The following is a 24,189-nucleotide window of genomic DNA, read 5'->3' on the forward strand; positions in this document are numbered from 1 at the left end:
ATTTATTAAGCTGTGCTATCTGGGAAGCTGTAGCAATGTTAAAAGTAATAAACGATTCAAAGTTCATCAGATAAATATAGGTAGATGAGAACAAACGAGTAACATCAATAAAGTAGGTTGTGTTTCTATGCATGAAGAAATGTTGCGTCTTATAATTCAATTCACTTTAGACATTTATTAGGCACTCATCAGGTACAAACTCTGCCCTAGGAATTGGTGGGTGCTACAAAATAAATGAAACACTGTTGTATTTGGCCATTCTTGCACTGCTATAAAGAAACTGGATAATTTATAAGAAAAGAGGTATAATTGACTCATGGTCTGCAGGCTGTACAGGAAGCATAGTGGCATCTGCTTCTGGGGAGGCCTCTAGAAGCTTCTAATCATGGTGGAAGGCAAAGTGGGAGCAGGCACATTGCCTGGTGAGAACAGGAGCAAGAGAGAGAGAGAGAGAGACAGGTGCCTCACTTTTAAACAGCCAGATCTTGCGAGAAATCACTATGATGAGGATGGGACCAAGAGGATGTTGCTAAACTATTCCTGAGAAATCCACCCCCGTGATCCGATCACCTCCCACCAGGTCCCACCTCCAACACTGGAGATTACACTTCAATGTGAGATTAGGGTGGGGCCAGCATCCAAACTATATCAACTGTTAAGGAAATAAAAGCTTTCTGCTATTTTATATGTATGTTCCTCATTCAGGTTACACAGTTCTTGTGTTGTATTCTGTGTAACGCTCTCACTGGCTTTGTTCCTGTGAAGGCCAGTGGATAAAACCTCTTATGTTATTCATGAGGGGTATTCATCTGCCCTAAAGCAGGGAGCTGGGGAAGAGGGGCCAATTCTCAATCAGAAAACCAGAGCTCAGGTGATTCTCAGAGCTCAGAGGCACAAAGAATAAGCAATATTATATGATTGGGTCTAGCTCTGTTGTGTGTGTGTTTTTTTCCAAATGTGTATGTGTGTGTGTGTATATATATATACACACACACACATACACATTTGGAAAAAAACACTTGGAAAAAAACACACACACAACAGAGCTAGACCCAATCAATATATGGGTCTATGTATATATACATACACACATATATATTATATATTTTATAATATATAAAAATAATGAGAATATATATTATATATTTTATAATATATAAAAATAATGAGGATATATATATATCCTCATTATTTTTAGTAAGGTTTCCTTTTAAAGTTCTGGCCCTGCTCCTGAAGACATAAAGAAGGGCCTTAGATCCTTGGGAGCAGGGTTCTTACAGTGTGGTCTCAGGGCCAGCAGCAGCAGCAGCAGCATCTCCCTGGGGACTCGGGAGTAATGCAGGTTCCTGTGTGTCACCCACATCTACTGATCAGGAACTCTGGTGTGAGACCGAATGATGAAAGCCGTCCAGGGGATTCCGATGCTGCTCAGGGTTAAAAACCACAGCTTGATCTGAAGAGCTGCAGGGGACAGCGCCCTCTGGAGGCCACGTGATCACAGCAGCCATAGAAAAGCAGCTGCATCCAGAGAAAGGAGCAAGAGTCTAGGTTTCCGAGTCCTGTTGTCCCTTCTCATGCAAAGAGACTTCTATGGTGGTCAACTTTAGAGATCCTGACTTGATTTAATTAAAGGATATTGCTGGTTTTTTTTTTTCTTTTTTTTTTTTTTTGAGACAGGGCATCGCTCTGTCACCAGGCTGGAATGCAGTGGTGTGATCTCGGCTCACAGCAACCTACACCTCCCGGGTTCAAGCGATTCGCCTGTCTCAGCCTCCCAGCAAATTTTTGTATTTTTAGTAGAGACGGGGTTTCACCATGTTGGCCAGGCTGGTCTCGAACTCCTGACCTCAAATGATCCACCCAGCTTGGCCTCCCAAAGTGCTGGGATTATAGGCGTGAGCCACCGCACCCGGCCTTGTTTTCTTTATAATAGTCCAGGCTCTCAGCATGGGTGAATATGGGTGTGTTCTAAAATAAATACTGTTCTATTTGCTTTTTCCAGTTCAAGTGTTCATATCATTCCCCTATTCAAAACGTTTTTACTGGTTCTTCATTAAACAGTCATCTCAGCCTAGTCTTTAAGGCCTCTGCAATGGGTCCAGCCCTCATTCTCAGCTCTCTCTCTCTTCCTCCCTGCATGAAAAATGCTGCTTGCTTGCTTTTGTGTTCATGTGGCATAGCTCATGCAACAGCGGCAGGCCACACAGTGTTGACAACTATGTCTCTCCTCTAAACCAAGCTTTTAAGGGCAGGCACCACATTCTGTTCCTGCTTATCCCAGCATTTAGCACAGTGCCTGTTAATCATAGCTGGTTGGAAATTGTTTTAAAAATGAGTAAGTGGCTGAATATTATGCGTGGTCTAGCTGTGTTGAACTATTTGCTGTTCTTGGAACTTTCTACCTCTGTCTTCCTTTGTGCAGTTCCTTTCAATGTGAGATGCCCTTACATGTCCATCTCTAGCCTCTCAAAACCCCACCCATGCTTTAAGATTTACTCATAGTGGCTGCTTAATAAACACGTGGGAGTTGAACTGTATAGAACGTGCCCTTGATGGAACAGAGTCATCAGCTGGTAAGTTCATTAAGTCACACTGTTCCTAGGGCAAAGTGCACTTGAAAAAAGTGGCACAAATAATAATAATGACATTTATCTATAATATCAATCAGTTGTATTGCTTGAGATCTTATCATGTGCCAAACCTTGCACTAAGCTTTTTACATATTATATTTTATTTAATTCTTAAATCAGTTTATGGAGAAAGTATTGTTATTTGTAAAAATTTAGAATGAGGAAATGGAGGCACAGAGGGGTTAAATAATTTGCCCAAGGTTATTTATTTTATTTTATTTTGAGATGGAGTCTCACTCTGTCACCCAGGCTGGAGTGCAGTGGCACGATCTCGGCTCACTCTAAGCTCTGCCTCCCCGGTTCACACCATTATCCTACCTCAGCCTCCCGAGTAGCTGGACAGGCGCCCACCACCACGCCTGGCTAAGTTTTTTGTATTTTTTTAGTAGAGATGGGGTTTTACCGTGTTAACCAGGATCATCTCGATCTTCTGACTCGTGATCCACCCGCCTCGGTCTCCCAAAGTGCTGGGATTTCAGGTGTGAGCCACCGCGCCCGGCTTGCCCAAGGTTATATAGCTAAAAATGTCAAAGACAAGGTTTCACTATGTTGCCCAGGCTGGTCTTGAACTCTTAGGATCAAGCAATCCTCCCTCCTCAGCCTCCCAAATAGCTGGGACTATAGTCATGCCACCATACCTGGCTGAAGCCAATATTAAAATGTAGGTCTGGGCCATGCACAGTGGCCTACACCTGTAATCCCAGCACTTTGGAAGGCTGAGGTGGGCAGATCACAAGGTTAGGAGATCGAGACCATCCTGGCCAATATGGTGAAATCTCGTCTCTACTAAAAATACAAAAATTAGCTGGGCATGGTGGTGTGTGACTGTAATCCCAGCTACTCAGGAGGCTGAGGCAGGAGAATCACCTGAACCTGGGAGGCGGAGGTTGCGGTGAGCTGAGATCGCGCCACTGCACTCCAGCCTAGGTGACACAGTGAGATTCCATCTAAAAATAAATAAATAAATAAATATAAAATGTAGGTCTGGTAGACACCAAAGTCAATGCTCTTAACTTGAAGCTAAATAGATTATTGATAAAGTATATAGATATTAGAGATCTTGACAAAACAGAATTGCAAATCTAAACAGACAAGCAAGAAACCTGAACTCATATGCCAGTCGATGAATAAATTAATATTTATTGAGCAGCTACTATGGGTCAGGCATTGTTCTAGGAGCAGGATGATAGAGCGGATGAATAGGCAAGGTCTCTGCTCTCAGGGAATTTACTTTCCAGTGAGATAATCTGTTTAGGAGATAACATTTGAGCCAATCCCTGGATGATGAGAAGGAGCCGTCATTTAAAGATTTGGGAAGAGCCTGTCTCAGGCAAAAGGAAGGAAGAGGAAGTGCAAAGGTCCTGAGGCTAGGAAGACCAACAGAGGAGCCAATATGCAGAAACCATCGAGTGGAATTGACCCTGGATCAAGCTGTGCTTTCTGGACACAGCTTCCATAAAAGAAGGAACAAAACCCAGGTGTGAGTGGCCCAAAACAGGTGAATCAATTACCATATCTAGGAAGCAGGATCAAGTTGAAAGAAGATTCTCTTACCCCTTTAAATATTTTCATCTGTGCCACTATTGCAGTGTCTGAAAATGAATCAAGTTTGTAGATGACTTTGGGGGTGAAAGCAAGCGTCATCATTAAATAATATCATCAAACCATTCCCCAAAAAGTCAATAAAGTGAGTAACACAGTCTAGGAAGGACTTGCTTCTCAAAGGGTTCTGTTTACCAGATATCCCCTATATTGTTGCCTTTTCAGAGTAATTTTGTAAGAACCAAGTCACGGTCTCAGTAATGGCACTCTTACAGTGGGAAAATCCAATACCCAGGTGCTTTATGGACATATCAAGAATCATGAGTAAGGTCCGGGTGAGAGTGAATCTGTTGATAAAAACATGCCAGGGAATATTTTGTTTCCAATTGAGTGGTCTAAGAAAATGGGGAATGGGGAAGAAGGGTGAACCCTAGATATAGGCAATAGAAGCTGCCTGTCTGTAGAAAATTTAGCAATAATAATAAAGCTGATTAAAAGTCAAGTGATAAGGCCGGGCGTGGTGGCTCACGCCTGTAATCCCAGCTCTTTGGGAGGCTGAGGCAGGAGAATGGCATGAACTTGGGAGGCAGAACTTGCAGTGAGCTGAGATCGCGCCACTGCACTCCAGGCTGGGCAACACAGCGAGACTCCGTCTCAAAAAAAAAAAAAAAAAAAAGTCAAGTAATAAAAAGCAGACAAACAAACCCTTTCCTGCAGGGGCGGGGCAGACCCTTCCCACAGCAAATCCCCCTGGTAGGTGGCTGTTAACAATGTCAAATCCAATTTGCAATACCTTTTTGTTCCTTCTTTGAACCTATACTTGATGTCTTCCACATGGTCTCCCCTGGGTCTGTTTTCTCTGTCAAGTAGTTGCTGTCTCTTTATGGGTGCTATGAAGGGCTCTCTTCCTTGTTTTGAGGTTCACAGCTCTTCTCTTCATGAGAGAACTTTTCCATACCCAGCTATTCACCTGCTTTTTCAGAGGTGTTCAAACCTGAGTGACTCCCTCTTGAATAGGGGCTGGATAAAATAAGGCTGAGACTGACTGGGCTGAATTCCCAGGAGGTCAGACATTCTTAGTCCAGGATGGGATAGGAAGTCAGCAGGACTGGTATCACAAGATACAGGTCACAAAGACCCTGCTGATAAAACAGGATGCAGTAAAGAAGCCGGCCAAAACCCACTAAAACCAAGATGGCAACAAAAGTGACTTCTGGTCATCCTCACTGCCCACTATACACTAATTATAATGCATTAGCATGCTAAAAGACAGTCCCACCAGCACCATGACAGTTTACAAATGCCATGGCAATGTCAGAAAGTTACCCTATATGGTCTAAAAGGTGGAGGAACCCTTAGTTCTGGGAATTGACTGCCCTTTCCCGGCAAACTCATGAATAATCCACCCCTTGTTTAGCATATAATCAAGAAAGAACTATAAGTATACTCTGTTGAGTAGCCCATGCCTCTGCTCTGCCTATGGAGTAGCCATTCTTTTCTTCCTTTACTTTCTTAATAAAGTTGCTTACACTTCACTCTATGAACTCGCCCCAAGTTCTTGACTGAGGTCCAAGAACCCTCTTTTGGGGCCTGGATGGGGGCTCCTTTCTGGTAACATTTTTATCTGAAGTGATACTTCCTTCTAGGCATCCCTAAGAAGGAAGGTGTCTGTAACTTGTAGAGCTGCTGTCCTCTCTTGGCGACAGCCAGTCCCTGTAATACATCCTTCAGTATACCTGCCTTCTTATGTAAGCACACTTATTACCAAAAAAGTACACTTAAGCACAAATATTTAGTGAGGCCCATAGGCCAGGCACTGTCTGGACATTGGGAAGAGAGCAGTAAACCAACAGACATGGTCCCTGCCTTCAGAGTGAATTGTTTTAAAAAAATAAGTAAACAAAATAAATTCAGATGTTCATAAGTACAGTGAGGAAAACAGAAGAGGACTATGTGATGGAAGCAACTGAGGATAACACCACTTAACCAGACAGGCAAGGGAAGCCTCTCTGAAGATGCGTATTTGACCAGATACCTGAGTACACAAGGCAAACCACCCACCCACCCAGCCAACCAACTGATCAACCAACCAGCCAATCACTTGCCCACCCAACCAGCCAACCAACCACTCACCCACCTGCCCAACCAACCAGCCAACCAACCAACCATCCACCCGCCCAATCAATCAGCCAACTAACCAACCATCCACCCACCCAACCAACAAACCAACCAATCAACCAACCAGCCAATTTTGAAACCATCCAGAGGAAGACTATTACAGGTAGAAGAAAATGCAAGAGGAAATTCCTGGGCTGTGAGTAAACTTGGTGTGTTTGAGGAAGAGAAAGATGTCAATGTACTTACAGTGGAGGGAGTGGGAGGGAATAGGTGGGTGAGGTCCCTCAGGCCAAGGCCATGATAAGGAGCTGAGATTTTATTCCAAGGATAAAGGAGAGCCATTGAACAGGTGAGTGACTCAATATGATTTACATTTATAAAAACTATATTACTTATTTAATCCTCTAAACAAATAGTGGGGTAATTAGTACTTAAAGATAAAGAAAAGAAGATCCTGAAAATTTATGTGATGGATTCAAGGGTCACCTAGTAAGGGTCTGAGCAGAGCCTGAAAGCTGGATCTTCAAAGTCCCAAGGTGCTTTTTTTCCTGTATACCAGCCCAGAGCAAAGTAAGATTCATGGTAAGAATGAGAGATGGATGGGTTATTTTATTTGTAAATATTCTAAGTGCATGATAGAGTTGGAGTGCACATGTGGGTGTGTCCTGGAGAAACAGATTTCTTAGTGGATCTGTATATGCAGCAGGAATTCAGCTAGCTTTGGGGGTTAAGAGATAATGGTGACTACTGCAATAGCTCAAGCTTATGGAGAGCTTACTATGTGCCAGACACTGTTCTAAATGTTTTACAAACCAACCAACCAACCAACCAACTAACCAACCAACCAACCAACCAACCAAACCAATAAGCAAACAAAACGGTCTTTAAGAGAGCATTACAGGCAGAGGAAAGAACAAAGTTCCTGAGATAAAAAGAAGCTTGGTATGTCTGATGAATAGAAAGAGGTCAATGTACTTACAGCTGGAAGGTATTGTCATTATTCCAGCTTTACAGATAAGGAAACTGAGGCTTAGAGAGGTTAATAATTTGCCAAAGATTATACAACCAGTAAGTAGCAAGAACTCTAGAGCACACAATTTCAACCATATAATAGGCTGCTATTTATTAAGTGGCTCATGTACAGGAGTGCTATACAAATTATTTATGACCCAGCCGGACAATGTGCCCATTATTAGCCTCCTCATATGTTAGTTAATAGAATTTATACTCTTTAGAGAGTATAAATAACTTTCCCAAGGAGGCCAGGCGTGGTGGCCCACACCTGTAATCCCAGCACTTTGGGAGGCCGAGGCAGGCAGATCATGATCATGGTCAAGACCGAGACCATCCTGGCTAACAAGGTGAAACACTGTCTCTACTAAAAATAGAAAAAAAAAAATAGCTGGGCATGGTGGCAGTTGCCTGTAGTCCCAGCTACTCGGGAGGCTGAGGCAGGAGAATGGCGTGAACCTGGGAGGCGGAGCTTGCAGTGAGCTGAGATGGCACCACTGCACTTCAGCCTGGGTGACACAGTGAGATTCCATCTCAAAACAAAAACAAAAAGAAAAAAAACTGCCCCAAGGCTGCTCAGAGAGCTGGGAATCCAATCCAGATGGGCCCAGTGGCCAAATTCATGCTCTTTGCTTTACATTCTGCCACCTCTTAGGACCTTCAAAAAGATACTGTCTGGGCCAGGAGCAGTGGCTCATGCCTGTAATCCCAGCACTTTGGGAGGCCGAGGCAGGCAGATCACCTGAGGTCGGGAGTTCAAGACTAGCCTGACCAACATGGAGAAAACCCGTCTCTACTAAAAATACAAAATTAACCGGGCATGGTGGCACCTGCCTGTAATCCCAGCTACTCAGGAGGATAAGGCAGGAGAATTGCTTAAACCTAGGAGGTGGAGGTTCAGGTGAGCCAAGATTGTGCCATTGCACTCCAGCCTGGGCAACAAGAGTGAAACTCCGTCTCAAAAAAAAAAAAAAGAAAACAAAAAACAAGATCCTATCTATTAAATTGGACAAAATAGCAGGCCTTTTACCAACCCGAAGTGAAATGCCCAAACCTAAGGTCAGCAGCATCTTAGGTGTTCTTGTTATTAATCCACTAAAATGCTTAAATTGAAAAAATAAAAAAAAAAAGCAGCTCTGGAGTCTTGCCAAGAGGAGAGTTATAGCATTTAAGGGGCAGGACCCTTCCAGAGGACCATGGCCAAAGATGTGGTTTCAAAAGCCTAAAGCTACAATTTTCTCCACAAGGAAGAGATGGGTATAGTGGCAACCACTAGAGAACTGGGAAGGGATATGAATTTACCTCAGGGGGAACCTATCCCTGTACCCATAGCGTCAAACCTGTTAGCCAGCTAGTCTTGTGTTTTTCATATTTTCCCAATGATTTGATGCACTTAATACTTCTTGCCTTTCATAACGACCTCAAGGCAGGCATATAGTGACTTTGGTTTCTAACCAAGAGAATTTCATGATCATGTATGTATACAAATGCTTCATCTCTTTCTTCTATGAATACTATCACATTTCTCATTAGTCTTAAATAGTTCTTATGGTTGTTTTCCTTTTATCCTTTTCTTTTATTTTTTTAAATTTGAGACAGAGTCTCGTTCTTGTTGCCCAGGCTGGAGTGCAGTGGCGTAATCTTGGCTCACTACAACCTCCGCCTCCCTGCCTCAGCCTCCCGAATAGCTGGGATTACAGGCACCCACCACCATGCCTGGCCAATTTTTGCACTTTTAGGAGAGATGGGGTTTCACCATGTTGGCCAGGCTGGTCTCAAACTCCTGACCTCAACTGCTCCACTCACCTCTGCCTCCCAAAGTTCTGGGATTACAGGTGTGAGCCACCACACCTGGCCCTTATGACTGTTTTCTAACAGTCAAATCCTTCCAAATATATTATTAGTTGTAATTGTGTGTTGAAGAGAGTGTTTATAGTGACTACTGCCTGCTCATGTTGGATTTTTACTGTAGCATTTAATAACCATGAAATTAATATAGAAACAGCTGAAATATAGAAACACTGAAATCTTGAGTTCAGTGCCAAGATAATTGACATTTTAGACAATAAGGTTAAAGAATAAAAGACCTATTGAAATCTTAGTTAAATTGTTATCTATCTTTAATCTTGTGAAACATTCACTGAAAGTTTCTACTGCTGTTTTTCTGGGGCTTTTCAGTCTTATGAAAAGAACTGAAAAGAAACTTTAAAAAGGTCCATTTTATTGAATCCATGTAGTCAACAGGTCATGTGGCCGTGAGTAAATCTTAGACAACAAAACTTAAAACCTTCATGAATGTCTCTACTAAAAATACAAAAAATTAGCTGGGTGTGGTGGTGGGTGCCTGTAGTCCCAGCTAATCGGGAGGCTGAGGCAGGGAGGTGGAGTTTGCAGTGAGCCAAGATCGCGCCACTGCACTCCAGCCTGGGTGACAGAGTGAGACTCTGTCTCAAAAAAAAAAAAACAAAGAAAAAACCTTCATGAATATTATCTATAAGCATATGATTATGTAGGTCTTTTGGGTTAAAGAAAGGACTTGTGTCCAAGGGGCTGAAGACTCATGAGTTTTTACTATTTCTGTAGATTATTAATTAATATTGAAAGGCGACTTTGCCAAATGTAGCCTGCAAGTGAGGGGAGTTAATGGCCCTAAGGGATGTCCTCAACCAAATGCTCTGGCTGTCCACCTCCTAGACGGACAATTCTAGGAGGCATTTTGTACACTTTTCAAGAGGTGCCAGAGGAATCGAGATAGGAGGTAGGAGCAATCTTGCTGATGCACTTTTTTTTTTTTTTGACAGATAGTCTCCCGCTGTCACCCAGGCTGGAGTGCAGTGGTGCAATCTCAGCTCACTGCAACTTCTGCCTCCCAGGTTCAAGCAATTCTCATGCCTCAGCCTCCCCAGTAGCTGGGATTACAAGTGCGTTCCACCAAGCCCAGTTAATTTTTGTATTTTTAGTAGAGATGAGGTTTCACCATATTGGTCAGGCTGGTCTCAAACTCCTGACCTCAAGTAATCTGCCTGCCTCAGCCTCCCAAGGTGCTCAGATTACAGGTGTGAGCCACCGTGCCTGGTCTGACTCACTCCTTTTTTTTTTTTTTTTTTTGAGATGGACTCTTGCTGTGTCGCCCAGGCTGGAGTGCAGTGGTGCAATCTCGGCTCGCTGCAACCTCAGCTCGCTGCAACCTCAGCCTCCCAGGTTCAAGCGATTCTCCTGCCTCAGCCTCTCGAGTAGCTGGGAGTACAACCCAGCTAATTTTTGCATTTTTAGTAGAGACATGGTTTCACCATGTTGGACAGGCTGGTCTCCAACTCCTGACCTCGAGTGATCTGTCCATCTCGGCCTCCCAAAGTGCTGACATTACAGGCATGAGTCATTATGCCTGGCCAGGTCAGCCAACTATTAACTTAAGGGAATCTATAAGAGCCAGACAGCTTCCCTGGAAGCATATAAAGAGAATCTTGTCTCTTGCAGCTGTGGGACAGCCTGGGCTATAGATCAGGCCTAGGAATTAATAATAAGGTGACCAAGCTGCAAGAACAAGTGAATGTGTAGCCTCCACTTCTCTTCTGTGTTAGGCTGCCAGCTTGAAAAAGTTTGCATGGATGTGTCTGAGAACCTTGAACTTTTTGCTGTATTCCTTTGACCCCTCTTGGCTGGCAGAAATAACAGTTCTTACTAAAAGGGAAGAGCCTCCGTTTGCCTGAAGACCAAGAAAGACCTCACCTGAAGCGGTTGTGTCAAAAGATGGTGGTCAAAGGCTGGTGTGGTGGCTCAAGCTTGTAATCGCAGCACTTTGGGAGGCTGAGGCAGGAGGATTGCTTGAGCTCAGGAGTTTGAGACCAGCCTGGGTGCCATAGCAAGTCCTCATCTGTACTAAAAAAAAAAAAAAAAAAAAAAAAAATCGCTGGGCATGCTGGTGCATGCTTCTAGTCCCAGCTACTTGGGGGGCTGAGGTGGGAGGATCACTTGCCAGGAGGTTGAGACTGAAGTAAGCCATGATTGTACCACTGTGCTCCAGCCTGGGCAACAGAGGGAGACCCTGTCTCAAAAAAAAAATAATAATAATAATAATAGTAAATAAATAAATAAAATGAAAGATAATGGTTGTTCTCGTGATCTGACACTCTCAACCCCACCCTCCAGCTCATTGCCTCCAGACCAATAACTATGGTCAGGTCTCAGCATAACCCAAAAAGGAAGGTTTAATATCTGCTATAGTAGAAATAGGTATTCACCAAAATAACTACAGAACTTGGCATGCAAAATATGTACTGTCTGGAACCAGCGGAGCATGTGCAGGAATGGTTTTGAGAGTACTGGGTTAGGGGAGGGTGGAAGAGCAAAATATAAAGCTGATTAGGGGAGAGTGAAATAACACTGGAATGCTCTTTCATGATTCAGGATTAAATGTTCTAGCAAGGAAACATGAAGCTGGTCCAACGTGCTGCTGGGATGGCTCCTTGAAGCTTGAACATGATGACCTTCAGCAAAGGAGGTGGAGATGTACAGAGGAGGAGGTTAGTAGGCTCAGAGAAGACGGCGTGATAGAATGGATTTATTGCATAAGACTACTTATTGCCGACTAGGTTTTCAAAGAGGGCCCAGGGGTACTCTTTTTATCAAAGAGATAAGGAATGTGCTGGTGAGGGGCGCCAGAATCACTGACAGCTCAGGGGTGTCTGTCCTCTGTAGGTTAGGGCTGATAATCTTAGGTGGTATTGCAAAACTGATCTCTTTTCTGGTGTCAATGGGAACAGTAAGATTTCAGAATGACAGAGACCAGTGGCAGTGCTTAAGCATCTGCATCAGATGCATGGAGACAAAATTATCATAATTAACAGTAAGCGTGGAGTGTCAAGTAGAGCACCTTGACCTGCAAGAGTCTATAATGATGGTTCACAGAGTTTGGTGTTCTTAGAGGTGAGGCAGATGGGTAGCCAACTAGGGTGATGCTTGAGTTATAGCCAGAAAAAAAAAAAAAGAAATGATGAGAGAAAGACTGATGTTAGTTACCACTATAAATTCTCTCTATCCTTGTTTTCATATTCGAGTAATTTTCAGACCCAAAGTCCACTTAGAAGGGACTATGGGGCTGGGCGCGGTGGCTCACGCCTGTAATCCCAGCACTTTGGGAGGCCAAGGCGGGCAGATCACGAGGTCAGGAGATTGAGACCATCCTGGCTAACACGGTGAAACCCCGTCTCTACTAAAAATACAAAAAATTAGCTGGGCATGGTGGCGGGCGCCTGTACTCCCAGCTACTCGGGAGGCTGAGGCAGGAGAATGGCGTGAACCTGGGAGGCAGAGTTTGCAGTGAGCCGAGATCGTGCCACTGCACTCCAGCCTGGGCGACAGCATGAGACTCCATCTCAAAAAAAAAAAAAAAAAAAAAAAAAGGACTGTGGGTCCTTGGAGGGAGGATTCTACAGCTCTCCAGCAAGTATATATAATACGTGGTCCTCTAATTCTCCCCCAAACAGAACTACATGCTGGGGAAGTTTCTATTGTGAACCCTGTCTAGGGCTGTTGGATACAGGATTTCAGCTGCAAAGTTTAAAGGAGAGCCATCATATCCCTGTTCAATTCAATTGCACGACCCCTGTAAAAACCAAATGGGCTGTAGCAATAAAGGTGGACTACCATAGATTTATACAAATGGCCCCAATTATAGCTGCTCCACTATATGTGGCATCTTTACTGTAACAGGTCTGGTACTTGGTATTTGGTTATTAACCTGGAGAATACTTTTCCCCCCATTCTGTCAGTAAAGGTGAGCAAAAGAGTTCACATTAATGTGGGAAGTATAGTAATGTACCTTCACTGAATTGGATCAAGGTTGTATTAAGCATCCTAATTTCTGAAATAAAATAGTCTTCATGATCCTTGATCATCTTGACATTTTGCAGCATATCATGATGGTCTGTTACCTCATTGATATTATGTTAATTGGATCTGGGGAACAGAAAGTAGCAAAGACTGTGGATGTTCTAGTTAGACATATGGGGTCCAAGATAAAATGAAAAAGATTCAGGGGGCTGCTGTATTGGTGAAGTTATTAGGGGCCCAGTTGTTAGAGATATGCTGGGACACCCACATATCTCCAGGAGAGAAAGAAATCATAGCATCGTGTACCCTCCACCACAAAGAGGATTAGTGGTTGTTCAGCATCTTTGGATTTCAGATGCAGCCAATTTTGAGTGGAGACCAGGGCAAGAAAGGACTTTATAGCAGGTTAGAGTCGTGCTGCAGTCTGCCCTGAGTCTTGTGCTAAATGACCCAGCAGGCCTAATGGTGCTAGAGGTACCCATGGTGGAAAGGATGCTGCTCAGTCTCCGGCAAGCTCCAATAGGGGAGGCACAGCAGAGACCCACAGTATTCTGGATACAGTCATGCCTTCTGAAGCAGAGAACCATGCACTATAGGAAAAGAAGCTCGATGAGGGTTATTGTGCCATTGTAGAGACTGAGTATCTAACTATAGGTTGTCAAGTGGCGATGAGAATGGAGATGCTCACCACGGATGGGGCATCGTCATAACCACTGAATCATAAGGAACTTTCGTAATTTATTGTATGATGAAAAATCGTTCATAAGGATCAGGCCCAAGCAGCTCCAGAGGGTATGTCACTTTTGTGGCACTAATGCCTCTTCCTCAGTTCACACACATGGCCTTACAACAGCTTCTGGATGATCCAGTGGTGGAAGAGGAAAACTCTTGCATCTGGTTCACAGATGGTTTGGCTTAGCATATGAAGGGAAGGAGAAAATGGACAGTTGCCACATTATAGTCTCATTCAGTATTGACCTTAAGGACAGAGTGTGGGGGAAATCCTCTCAGTGGACAGAGCTGCAACCGGCACACTTGGTTGTTCACTGTGTATGGAAGAAGTGGCCCGAGATTCAGATATGCATAGACTTCCGGCTAGGGGAGGATGGCATGGTTTGTTGACCAAGGGTGTGAAACTAGCAATATTAGAAGATTGGTGACATGTGGATTGCTATAGTACAGATGTTTGTGTCTCCTGAAAATTCACATGTTAAAACCCAGCGTCCAAGGTCATGGTATGAGAAGGTGGGGCCTTTGGGAAGTGATTAGGTAATGAAGGGGATTAGTGCCTTTATAAAAGAGACCCCAGAGAACTGGCTAGCCCTTTCTATCATGTGAGGACACAGTAAGAAGCCAACATCTGTGAACCAGGCAGCAAGTCCTCACAAGAAACGAGTTCCTGGGTTAGGTGTTTTCCATAAGGTACTTTTTTTTTTTTTTTTATAGAGTCTCACTCTGTTGCCCAGGCTGGGGTACAGTGGCATAATCTCGGCTCACTGCAACCTCCGTCTCCCAGGTTCAAGCAATCCTCCCAACTCAACCTCCCAAGTAGCCAGGATTACAAGCATGCACCACCACACCTGGCTAATTTATTTTTATTTTCATTTTTAGTAGACACAGGGTTTCACCAGTTTGGCCAGGCTTGTCTCCAACTCCTGACCTCAAGTGATCCGCCGGCTTTGGTCTCCCAAAGTGCTGGGATTACAGGCATGAGCCAACGCGTCTGGCCTTTCATAAGGCATTTTATTTAATTATCAGAACAATTACATGAGTAAATATTACAATCACAACAATGTTGATGAGAGAAGTTAGGCAACTTGCCAAGCTAGTCAGCTGGGTGGCTAGGATAGAATCCAGCTGTGGTCCTCAACAGTGCAAACACAATTCCCACTTGTTTTTTGAACTTAAGAGCTATGTAGCCTACTGGGTCAGGTGAATTTACTAGGACTCAGGAATCATCTTCCCTCATCTTCACTCCTTATTTTTTAACCTACATTTTACACTTTGTCCTCCTCAGTCAGACTGCTAACCTCCTTCACAGGCCGTGTTATTGAGTAGCTAGGATTACAAGCGCTCACCTCCATGCCCAGCTAAATTTTGTTTTTTGGTAGAGATGGGATCTCGCTATGTTGCCCAGGCTGGTCTCGAACTCCTGGGCTCAAGCGATCCTCCCGCCTCAGCCTCCCAAAGTGCTGGGATTACAGGACTTAAAGAGACAGTAAGTAGAACATCTTGGCCTGATAGGTCCAGGAAAAGAGCCAGGGCAACTATCAGCTTGGACTGTAGAGTGCAGTTACCACAATTGGCCACCAGATGGCAGAAGCACTCAGGGAATCGCGTCGGGAAGGCAAAGGATGTGCTGAAGGGCTTAGGGGAAGCCTCAGGCCCGAGATCCAGAGGTTAGCGCGTTCTCAGCAGGGAGGGCCAGTTGTTCAGGTAAATATAATTCAGACAGCTAGAATATGGGATGCGCTGGTGAGATTCAAACAGGCCCACTTTGGTTCTACCAGAAAGAGAAATAGGGAGAGTGAGCTGGAGATGGGATCATTGCAACAGAACGTTTCAAATGCTCAAGATCAAAACACAACATAAATAAGCTGGGAAACAGGCTGGATGCGCTCTGCAGGCAGGATGAGAACGAGAACGGGTGATTGGCATTCGAAGACAAGGTTGAGCTGTGAGTGAAATTCAGGGTAGGCTGAGCATCCAGAAGGGAGTGAACCTTGGTTATGCCTGGGACCATCTGCCCCATAGATGACCGTGTAGCGGACCGTATTTCATAGAAATGGCCCTAAACACATTTTGGGTCATATGTTTCCCAGAAGCTTAGTACTTCCCCGACAAGGGGTAGAGTCTAGGTACTCTCCCTGTGAGCCTGGGCAGGGCTTCCTGACTGCCTCAACTAACAGAGCACAGTGAAAGTGACATATATGACTTTCAAGACTCAGTCATAAACACGGTGCAGTTTCTGTACGGCTTCCTCTCTCTCAGGACCCTCACTTAAAAACCCCGAGCTACCATGTGAGGAGCCAGGCTACCTGGAAGCTGCCATGTTAGAAACGATGTGGAAGGATCACATATGTTGGGGCTCAGAAAATAATACCCCAAAATGGAGACCTCAGAAGCAGAAGTTTTTCTCTGTCACTCTCCTGCCCTCCTATCTCTCAGTCACATTCTCCCCTGAGGCCAGCCAAGGAAACGAACATCCCTCTTCCCCAACATGGGTTACAGCAGCGGTCCCCAGTCTTTTTGGCACCAGGGACCGGGACTAGTTTCATGGAAGACAATTTTCCCACGGAGTGAGGTGGGGATGGTTTCAGGATGAAACTGTTCCATCTCAGACTATTAGGCATTATGTAGATTCTCATAAGGAGCACGCGACCTAGATCCCTCCCATGTGCAGTTCACAATAGGGTTTGGCCTCCTGCGACAATCTAATGCCACCACTGATCTGACAAGAGGCAGAGCTCAGGCGCTAATGCCTGATCACCCACACTCACCTCCTGCTGTGTGGCCCGGTTCCTAACAGGCCATGGACCAGTATCGGTCAGTGGCCCTGGCATTGGGGACCCCTGGGTTATGTGAAACCAGAACTCCTTTTCCCTAAAGCTAGTCATAAAACCTAAAAATATTACTCTAATCTACCCCTCTGCCTTTCTGTATAAAAACTGGCCATAAAGAAATTATTTGGCTTATCTTGTTTGACTCTTGGTCATAAGACCCCCATTTCAGAGATGATCCTGCCCCATATACAGAAGGAAAGAATACTGCACAGAGAAGCCAAGAAGAATCTAGACAGACAGGCCTTACTCAGTCTATCGGCATTAGATCATTCCATTTTTGTCTAATCATATTTCCACATAGTCCATACTGTATTGGACCTAAGCAATAAAATGGACAATGTCCCCTGTATTTTTGAATCTTCATTCTAAAGGCTCCCACTATAATAATAGTCCTATACATAAAATAGTATGTATATGATTACCAAGAAATATAAAAATATTTTTAAAAGATATAATACATGTGCTTCTTTAATAATGTATTAAATAAGATAAAGTGTTGCCTATAATAACTACTGTAACTTTCAAGTGTTGGTGAGCATAAATGATATTTGGAGGTATCTGCACAACTGTGATAAAACAAACTTATTGGCCGGGTGTGGTGGCTCACACCTGTAATCCCAGCACTTTAGGAGGCTGAGGCGGGCAGACCACGAGGTCAGCAGATCGAGACCATCCTGGCTAACACAGTGAAACCCCGTCTCTACTAAAAATGCAAAAAATTAGCTGGGCATGGTGGCGGGTGCCTGTAGTCCCAGCTACTCGGGAGGCTGAGGCAGGAGAATGGCGTGAACCAGGGAGGTGGAGCTTGCAGTGAGCCGAGATTGCACCACTGCACTCCAGCCTGGGCTACAGAGCGAGACTCTGTCTCAACAACAAACAAAAACCCAAAAACAAACTTATTGCTATTTTTTTGGTAACAAAGTCACAGGTACTTCTAATATTTTCATGGCTTGCTGCTTTTATGCATTATGGAAGGAAAAGCTATGTTTCAGTTAGAAATGGGCGAAAATAAAGGAATAGTATTTTTTTTTCCCATCAAAGTTCATGGACAACTTCCCCTACATTCCCCAACTCCCACTGTTGAGAACCATGGGAAGCGGGTGCTTGCAAGGATCTCAGGGAATATTAACCAAGCCTGTCTTTGCAGACGGTGGAAGGGAAGGGAGTGACATTTGGTCCTTGCCCAAGGTCACATGGCTCTTTGGTGGCAAGGCATTTCCCTAAGTGTTCCCCTGCTCCTTTCCATTGTCTTTTCATTCTCCTTCCAGTACATCTGTCTGCTTCTCTCTTTCTCCATGGCTTTTTCTTCTTCTATGACTCTTCCTAGTCATAAAATGAAATGGAGATCTTTAAAACCAAAGCCATGTGTACACTCACTGCTTTCTCATTCTTATCCACAATTCCAGAGTTTTTTTATTGGGCCTCATTGTTCTCATTTACATCCTGTGACTTTTCACATGAGCCCTCTGCTTAGATCATAAATCCGTGTACATTCCTATATCTCACCCCAAGAACACGCTGCACTCTTGGTGGTGCACTCTTTTTTTTTTTCCATGTGTCTACATTAGCGTCTCTTTCACGTGCGGTCTGAGAACTACTTTTAGCAGAATCACCTGGCCCTCTGCCCAGCCTCATGACTACATGGGGGTGGGTGTTGAAAACTTGCATTTTATTAAGCTTCACTGACTGGTCTAATGGCTCTGAATGTTTGCGAAACACAGACCTGAGTCCTGCCCTTCCTGAAGGGCCACACTAGTTCCACCGACACTAGTTATTCTTTTTTTTTTTTTTTTTGAGACAGAGTCTCGCTCTGTCACCCAGGCTGGAGTGCAGTAGCGCGATCTTGGCTCACTGCAAGCTCTGCCTCCCGAGTTCACCCCATTCTCCTGCCTCAGCCTCCCAAGCAGCTGGGACTACAGGCACCTGCCACCACACCCAGCTACTTTTTTTGTATTTTTAGTAGAGACAGGGTTTCACCATGTTAGCCAGGATGGTCTCGATCTCCTGACCTTGTGATCCGCACACCTTGGCCTCCCAAAATGCTGGGATTACACACATGAGCCACCGCGCCCGGCCGATATAGCCTCTTCTAACCACAAGAGCCTCACTCCCCCTGGAGACTCCTACTTTTAGTATTGCTGCTTCTTGTATCCTATCCTGTTAGCATGATTCAAACGTTAAAGCCAAGAGGAAGAAGGAAGAGAATGAGGTGATGAATACTGGTCATGTACCGGATATTCTGCAAGGCTCAGTGACGCACTGTTGACCATGTTTCACAAGTAAGAAAATTAAAGTTTAAAATGTTGGGTAATGTGTTCAGGGTCACACAGTTAATAAACGGTGGAATTAAACTGCTAGCCTTGGTCTTTTTTTTTGTTTGTGCTCCAGTGCCTCTGTTCTCATGACACAGACTTTATTCAACATATCCTCAGGGTTGAGGCATAGCATCTTTGCATTTGCTGCATCTCAAAATATGTTCCTTTTTTTGCAATCATCTGGAATTGATCCTTCACAGATTTCTTTCTCATTTTCTACCCACTCCCTTTAATGTATGTCCTGCTAAAAGTTCTGTCGTGGTCTCTTCTCTTTTCTCACTCTTCATTCTAACCTCATTTTTTGCACCTATGTGCCAGATGCCTGAATCTATCTCAAGCCAGGATTTCCCTGTTGAGCTTCAAACCCATATGCCCCAATGCCTAGTGTCAGTTCCATAGGGACTAAAATCCAACTAGCCGGACTTTGTTCCTTGGCCTCACTTCCAAGCACCTTTTCTTACCAACCACTTCAGCTGCGGTAGCAGATTCTGTGGGAAGCCTCTTTCAACATGTTCTCCAGCCTGTATTTGGTGGACCTCCCCAGTGCAGAGGCTCCCATGATCCTTTTCTATTCTACCCCTTAATTTCTCAGGGCCCCAGGGCTTAGTCCTAATCCCTCTTTCCTTCACTCATTCCTTAGGTGGTCTCATTGAGTTTAAAGGCGTTTTCAAGCGTAGATTTTACTGATGGATCTCAAATATCTCTCTCTCCAGCCAGATCTCTCCCCTGGGCTTCAAACTTGCATATCCTATCACACATTAGCCATCTTCATAGGGGCGTCTAATCAGTGTTGCACACTTAATATGTCCAAAGAGAATACTGAGGTCCCTGCTGCCTGCTGTGCTCACCTTGCATGTGGTGCTTGACTGACCCTCCCAGCCCTTTCAGGTTTCTGCTCATAGACGCCTTGCTCTGCCCACCTGTCTCAAATAGACACCCACCATCACCCTAACCCACTTAATTTTATTTCCATAACATTTGCTTTCTGAAATTAGGTGATTTATGGTTTCTTGTCTCATTCTTCCACTGTAAGATCTCTGAGAGCAAGGACATGTTCACTGCTGCCCCCTGGTACCTAGCAGGGTTCTTGTACATAGGAAGCGCAAGCAGTATTTCTTACTTTTTGATGCTCACTGCCACTTTTCTAGCACAGGCCATTATTTCTCACCTGGCTTGCTGCAAAAGTCTAAATGCTTTCTTTGCTCCAGTTCCAATTATTTTCCAAGCTGAAGCCCATGTGATCTTTTGAAAACACAGAACTGTTTGTCTGCTGCCCTTTTCAGACCTTTCAGGGAGGTTCTGTCTTAGTTTGGTTGGACCTTCTGTCTCAAGCAACAGAAATGCCTGAGCTTGCTCAGGCAATATGAATTTTCTTTTTCAGCTCAGCATGGTCTTGGTCTCTCCCTGTGGTCACCAGACATGCCACGATTCTCTTGTACCTCAAAGGCCCTGGCGTACGTGGACCTCTCTATTTAGAAGCTGTATTATTCAGGGTTCTCCAGGGAGATAAGACTGATAGATGTGTGTGCATATATAGAGAGAGGGAGAGATATTTATTCTAAGGACTTGGCTCACATGATTGTGGAGGATGGGAAGTCCAAAGTCTGCAGGGTAGGCAGACAGGTTGGAGACGCAGAGAAGCACTGCAGTTTAAGTCTGAAGGCAGTCAGCTGGCAGAATTCCTTCTTTCTCAGGGAGGCAGTCATTTTTCTCTTAAGGCTTTCAACTGAATGAGGTCTCCCACCTTATGATGGGTAATTGGCTTTACTCAAAGTCTACTCATTTAAATGTTAATCTCATCTAAAAAATATCTTCACAGAGACATCTAGAATAATGTTTGACCAGACCTGGATATTGTGGCCTAGTCAAGTTGACACATCAGAAAACCTTTTCCCTCCAACCTCCGAACTCTTCTGGTTAATTTCTTTCAGATATTGGCTTAGATACCTCCTTTGAGAGCCTTTTATGACAACATGGGGGTAGGTGTCTCTTTTTTTTTTTTTTTTTTTTTGAGATGGAGTTTCACTCTTGTTGCCGAGGCTGGAGTGCAGTGGTGTGAGCTCAGCTCACTGCAACCTCCACCTCCCGGGTTCAAGTGATTCTCCTGCCTCAACCTCTTGAGTAGTTGGGATTACAAGCATGCACCACCATGCCTCGCTAATTTTTGTATTTTTAGTAGAGACAAGGTTTCACCATTTGGTCAGGCTGGTCTTGAACTCCTGACCTCAAGTGATCCACCTGCCTCGGCCTCCCAAAGTGTTGGGATTACAGGTGTGAGCTACCCCCCTTTTAAATAGTTTTACCAGCTTCTTAGTCCTTTTAGTCTTTTCTTCCTGTTCTCTCTTTTGAGCCCCATGGACTCCTCATACTTAAATCGCACAGATTTATTTTACTATATTACAAAACACCACCTTCTGTGTTCTTATTCCCCACACCAGAAGCTTGCTTCGTGAACATCTAAATTGTTCACTATTGTATCCTCCTTACCTCCATAGTACCTGACATGTAAGAACTGCTCAATAAATATTAATTGAATGAATGACTTCCATGTTCTTCAAAATTTTCCCATCATTGCCTACTTCTTTCTCTCTCTTCTCTCTCCATAATCAGAGCTGTAACTAGGGCTCTGAAATTTACAGTGTGCCAGTTTTTTCTTTTTTTTTTCTTTTGAGACAGTCTAGCTCTGTCGCCTGGGCTGGAGTGCAGAGGCACGATCTCGCCTCACTGCAACCTCCACCTCCCAGGCTCAAGCAATTCTCCTGCCTCAGCCTCCCCAGTTGCTGGGATTACAGGTGCATGCCACCACACCGGCTAATTTTTGTATTTTAGTAGAGATGGGTTTTCACCATGTTGGCCAGGCTGTTCTCGAACTCCTGACCTCAGGTGATCCACCCACCTCAGCCTCCCAAAGTGCTGGGATTCCAGGCATGAGCCACTGCGCCCGGCCACAGTGTGCCAGTTTTTAAAATGATCGTGCAACTAATTCTATAGCACAAGCATGTAGTATCACTAAATTTAACAGCTAGTAAGTGAGAATAACTAGTTAAAATAGGAAGCTACCAGATGGAAAGGATTTTCAATAGCACCCATATGCAAGCTGAGACATGAATCACAAAGTCGATTTGATGGCTGTGTTTTATGCTTGCCCTGGCACCAAAATTGCTGGTTACAGCTGGACACTCCATTGTACACAATACTTTCTGGTGGCAGATCTATTAACTTCATTCAGTGTGTGGGGGGAAGGAAGGTGGAAAATATACTTACACCAGGAAGTTATGTGTAGGATAGAAGATAGACCTGCCTTGTTTTCTTTTCTTTTTTTTTTTTTTGAGATGGAGTCTCACTCTGTCACCCAGGCTGGATGGAGTGCAGTGGCATGATCTCGGCTCACTGCAACCTCCGCCTCCCGAGTTCAAGTGATTCTTCTGCCTCAGCCTCCCGAGTAGCTGGGACTGCAGGTGTATGCCACCACGCCCGACTAATTTTTGTATTTTAAGTAGAGATGGGGTTTCACCATATTGGCCAGGCTGATCTCAAACTCCTGACCTCGTGATCTGCCTGCCTCGACCTCTCAAAGTGTTGGGATTACAGGTGTGAGCCTCCTCGCCCAGCCTAGACCTGCCTTTTTGTATTTGTCCTGCTAATTGGAGAATTAGGATTTGAGGTTCAATCAAAGGAAGATACAGCATGACTTACAGGTGCTGATCTGCATGGGTCAATGAAATGTGCAAGATAATATGTGTCCATCAAGAGGTACAGCCACCTCCAATGCCTGCACTTCTAGGATTTGCACCCCCATGGAGCAGCCACTGGGAGAGAGAGAGGGAAGGACTTTAAACAGTCCGTACTGGGATGGCCCCACACCTCCTCAAAGATGGGGATGTTTTACTATGTTGCCAACATCATACATCAGCTAGCAGTTTTAGCCATAAAGATATTAGCATATGAATCCTTCACTGCAGAAAATCAAGAACTAAAAGATGGCTCCCTATTTACTTAGCTTGCAACCTTCAGTTCTTCAGACTATTTCTTTCTGTCCAAAGTCCTCAGTTAGATACAGAATTGTTTGTGGAGCTCTGGGGTCAATCATCAACCATCCTATGATTACAGTAGGTAGTCAGGCAGACATGAGCAGAGCAGGAGAGGGCCACCCCACCCCCTACTGGGAATGCCAGGTGACCATCAGGTGATGGTCAGGTGGTTGTTAACTGTTGTGCTAAAATACTAATTGGTTGCAGCTGGTACCAGGGACCGACATTCTTCCAATAGATAGAAAAACCTGAAACTGGTAAAACCTGAAACTGGTGATTAGCTTCCTGATGAGATCTCAGGAGTTGGGTGAGTGGGGTTGGGCATGCGCACTAAGAGGCAAAATGGTGACGTTTAACTGGTATATGATCTTCCTCTAGGAGCATTTGACTGGTAAGGGACGAAGGCCTCAAGTGAGCATGTGCAAACTCCAGTACTGTGCATGTGGCCCCTTGCAAGTGCTAGCAGACCACTGACCACTGCACATGCAGACAGCTCACCGCAAGGGAAGAATAAGGGGAGAAGTAATGCAAGACCCCGGAAGTATGTCAACATATAAAACCCCAAGTTAAAGGTCAAACCGTGCATTTAATCTCTCAAATTGCTCGCTTGGCCCTCTTCCAAATATACTTTACTTCTTTTCATTCCTACCCTAAAACTTTTTCTTTTTCTCTCTTTTTTTTGAGACAGAGTCTCACTCTGTTGCCCAGGCTGGAGTGTAGTGGTGTGATCTGGGCTCATTGCAACCTCTGCCTCCCAGGCTCAAGCAATTCTCATGCCTCAACCTCCCAAGTAGCTGGGACTACAGGTGTGCGCCACTGCACCCGGCTAATTTTTTAATTTTTAATAGAGACAGTTTTGCCATGTTGGCCAGGCTGGTCTTGAACTCCTGGCCTCAAGTGATCCGCCACCTCTGCCTCTCAGAGTGCTGGGATTACAGTCAGAGCTGCTGCACCTAGCCTGCCCTAAAACCTTTTAATGAGCTTTCACTCCTGCTCTAAAACTTGCCTCGGTCTGTCCTTCTGCCTTATGACCCCCAGTCGAATTCTTTCTTCTGAGGAGGCAAGAACTGAGGTTGCTGCAGACCCGTACAGATTTGCCGCCAGTAACATATTTTGGTGCCGTGTTACTTGATACGTTCTGCTGCTA

General features: G+C 44.5%; 1 long non-coding RNA gene across 2 annotated transcripts in view, besides 1 other annotated feature; it reads left to right on the forward strand.

The window, feature by feature from the left end:
* Window positions 1,338-1,632: an enhancer, noted in NCBI's record as "tiled region #3495; HepG2 Activating DNase matched - State 12:CtcfO". NCBI's record gives its function as "activates a minimal TATA promoter and a strong SV40 promoter by Sharpr-MPRA in HepG2 cells {active_cell/tissue: HepG2}" and the evidence as "EXISTENCE:reporter gene assay evidence [ECO:0000049][PMID:27701403]".
* LOC101927108 (uncharacterized) overlaps window positions 6,361-24,189 on the forward strand; it is a 60,297-nt gene continuing 42,468 nt past the window's right edge. Inside the window, exons 1-2 of one of the 2 annotated variants that reach the window (XR_001746719.1) lie at window positions 6,361-6,486; window positions 11,709-11,824. This is a non-coding gene — a long non-coding RNA (uncharacterized LOC101927108). The remainder of the gene's footprint in view (window positions 6,487-11,708; window positions 11,825-24,189) is intronic. The other variant, XR_001746720.2, reaches the window with a different exon arrangement.

The sequence above is a fragment of the Homo sapiens genome, chromosome 9 (genome assembly GCF_000001405.40).
Source record: "Homo sapiens chromosome 9, GRCh38.p14 Primary Assembly".
Taxonomy (NCBI): domain Eukaryota; kingdom Metazoa; phylum Chordata; class Mammalia; order Primates; family Hominidae; genus Homo; species Homo sapiens.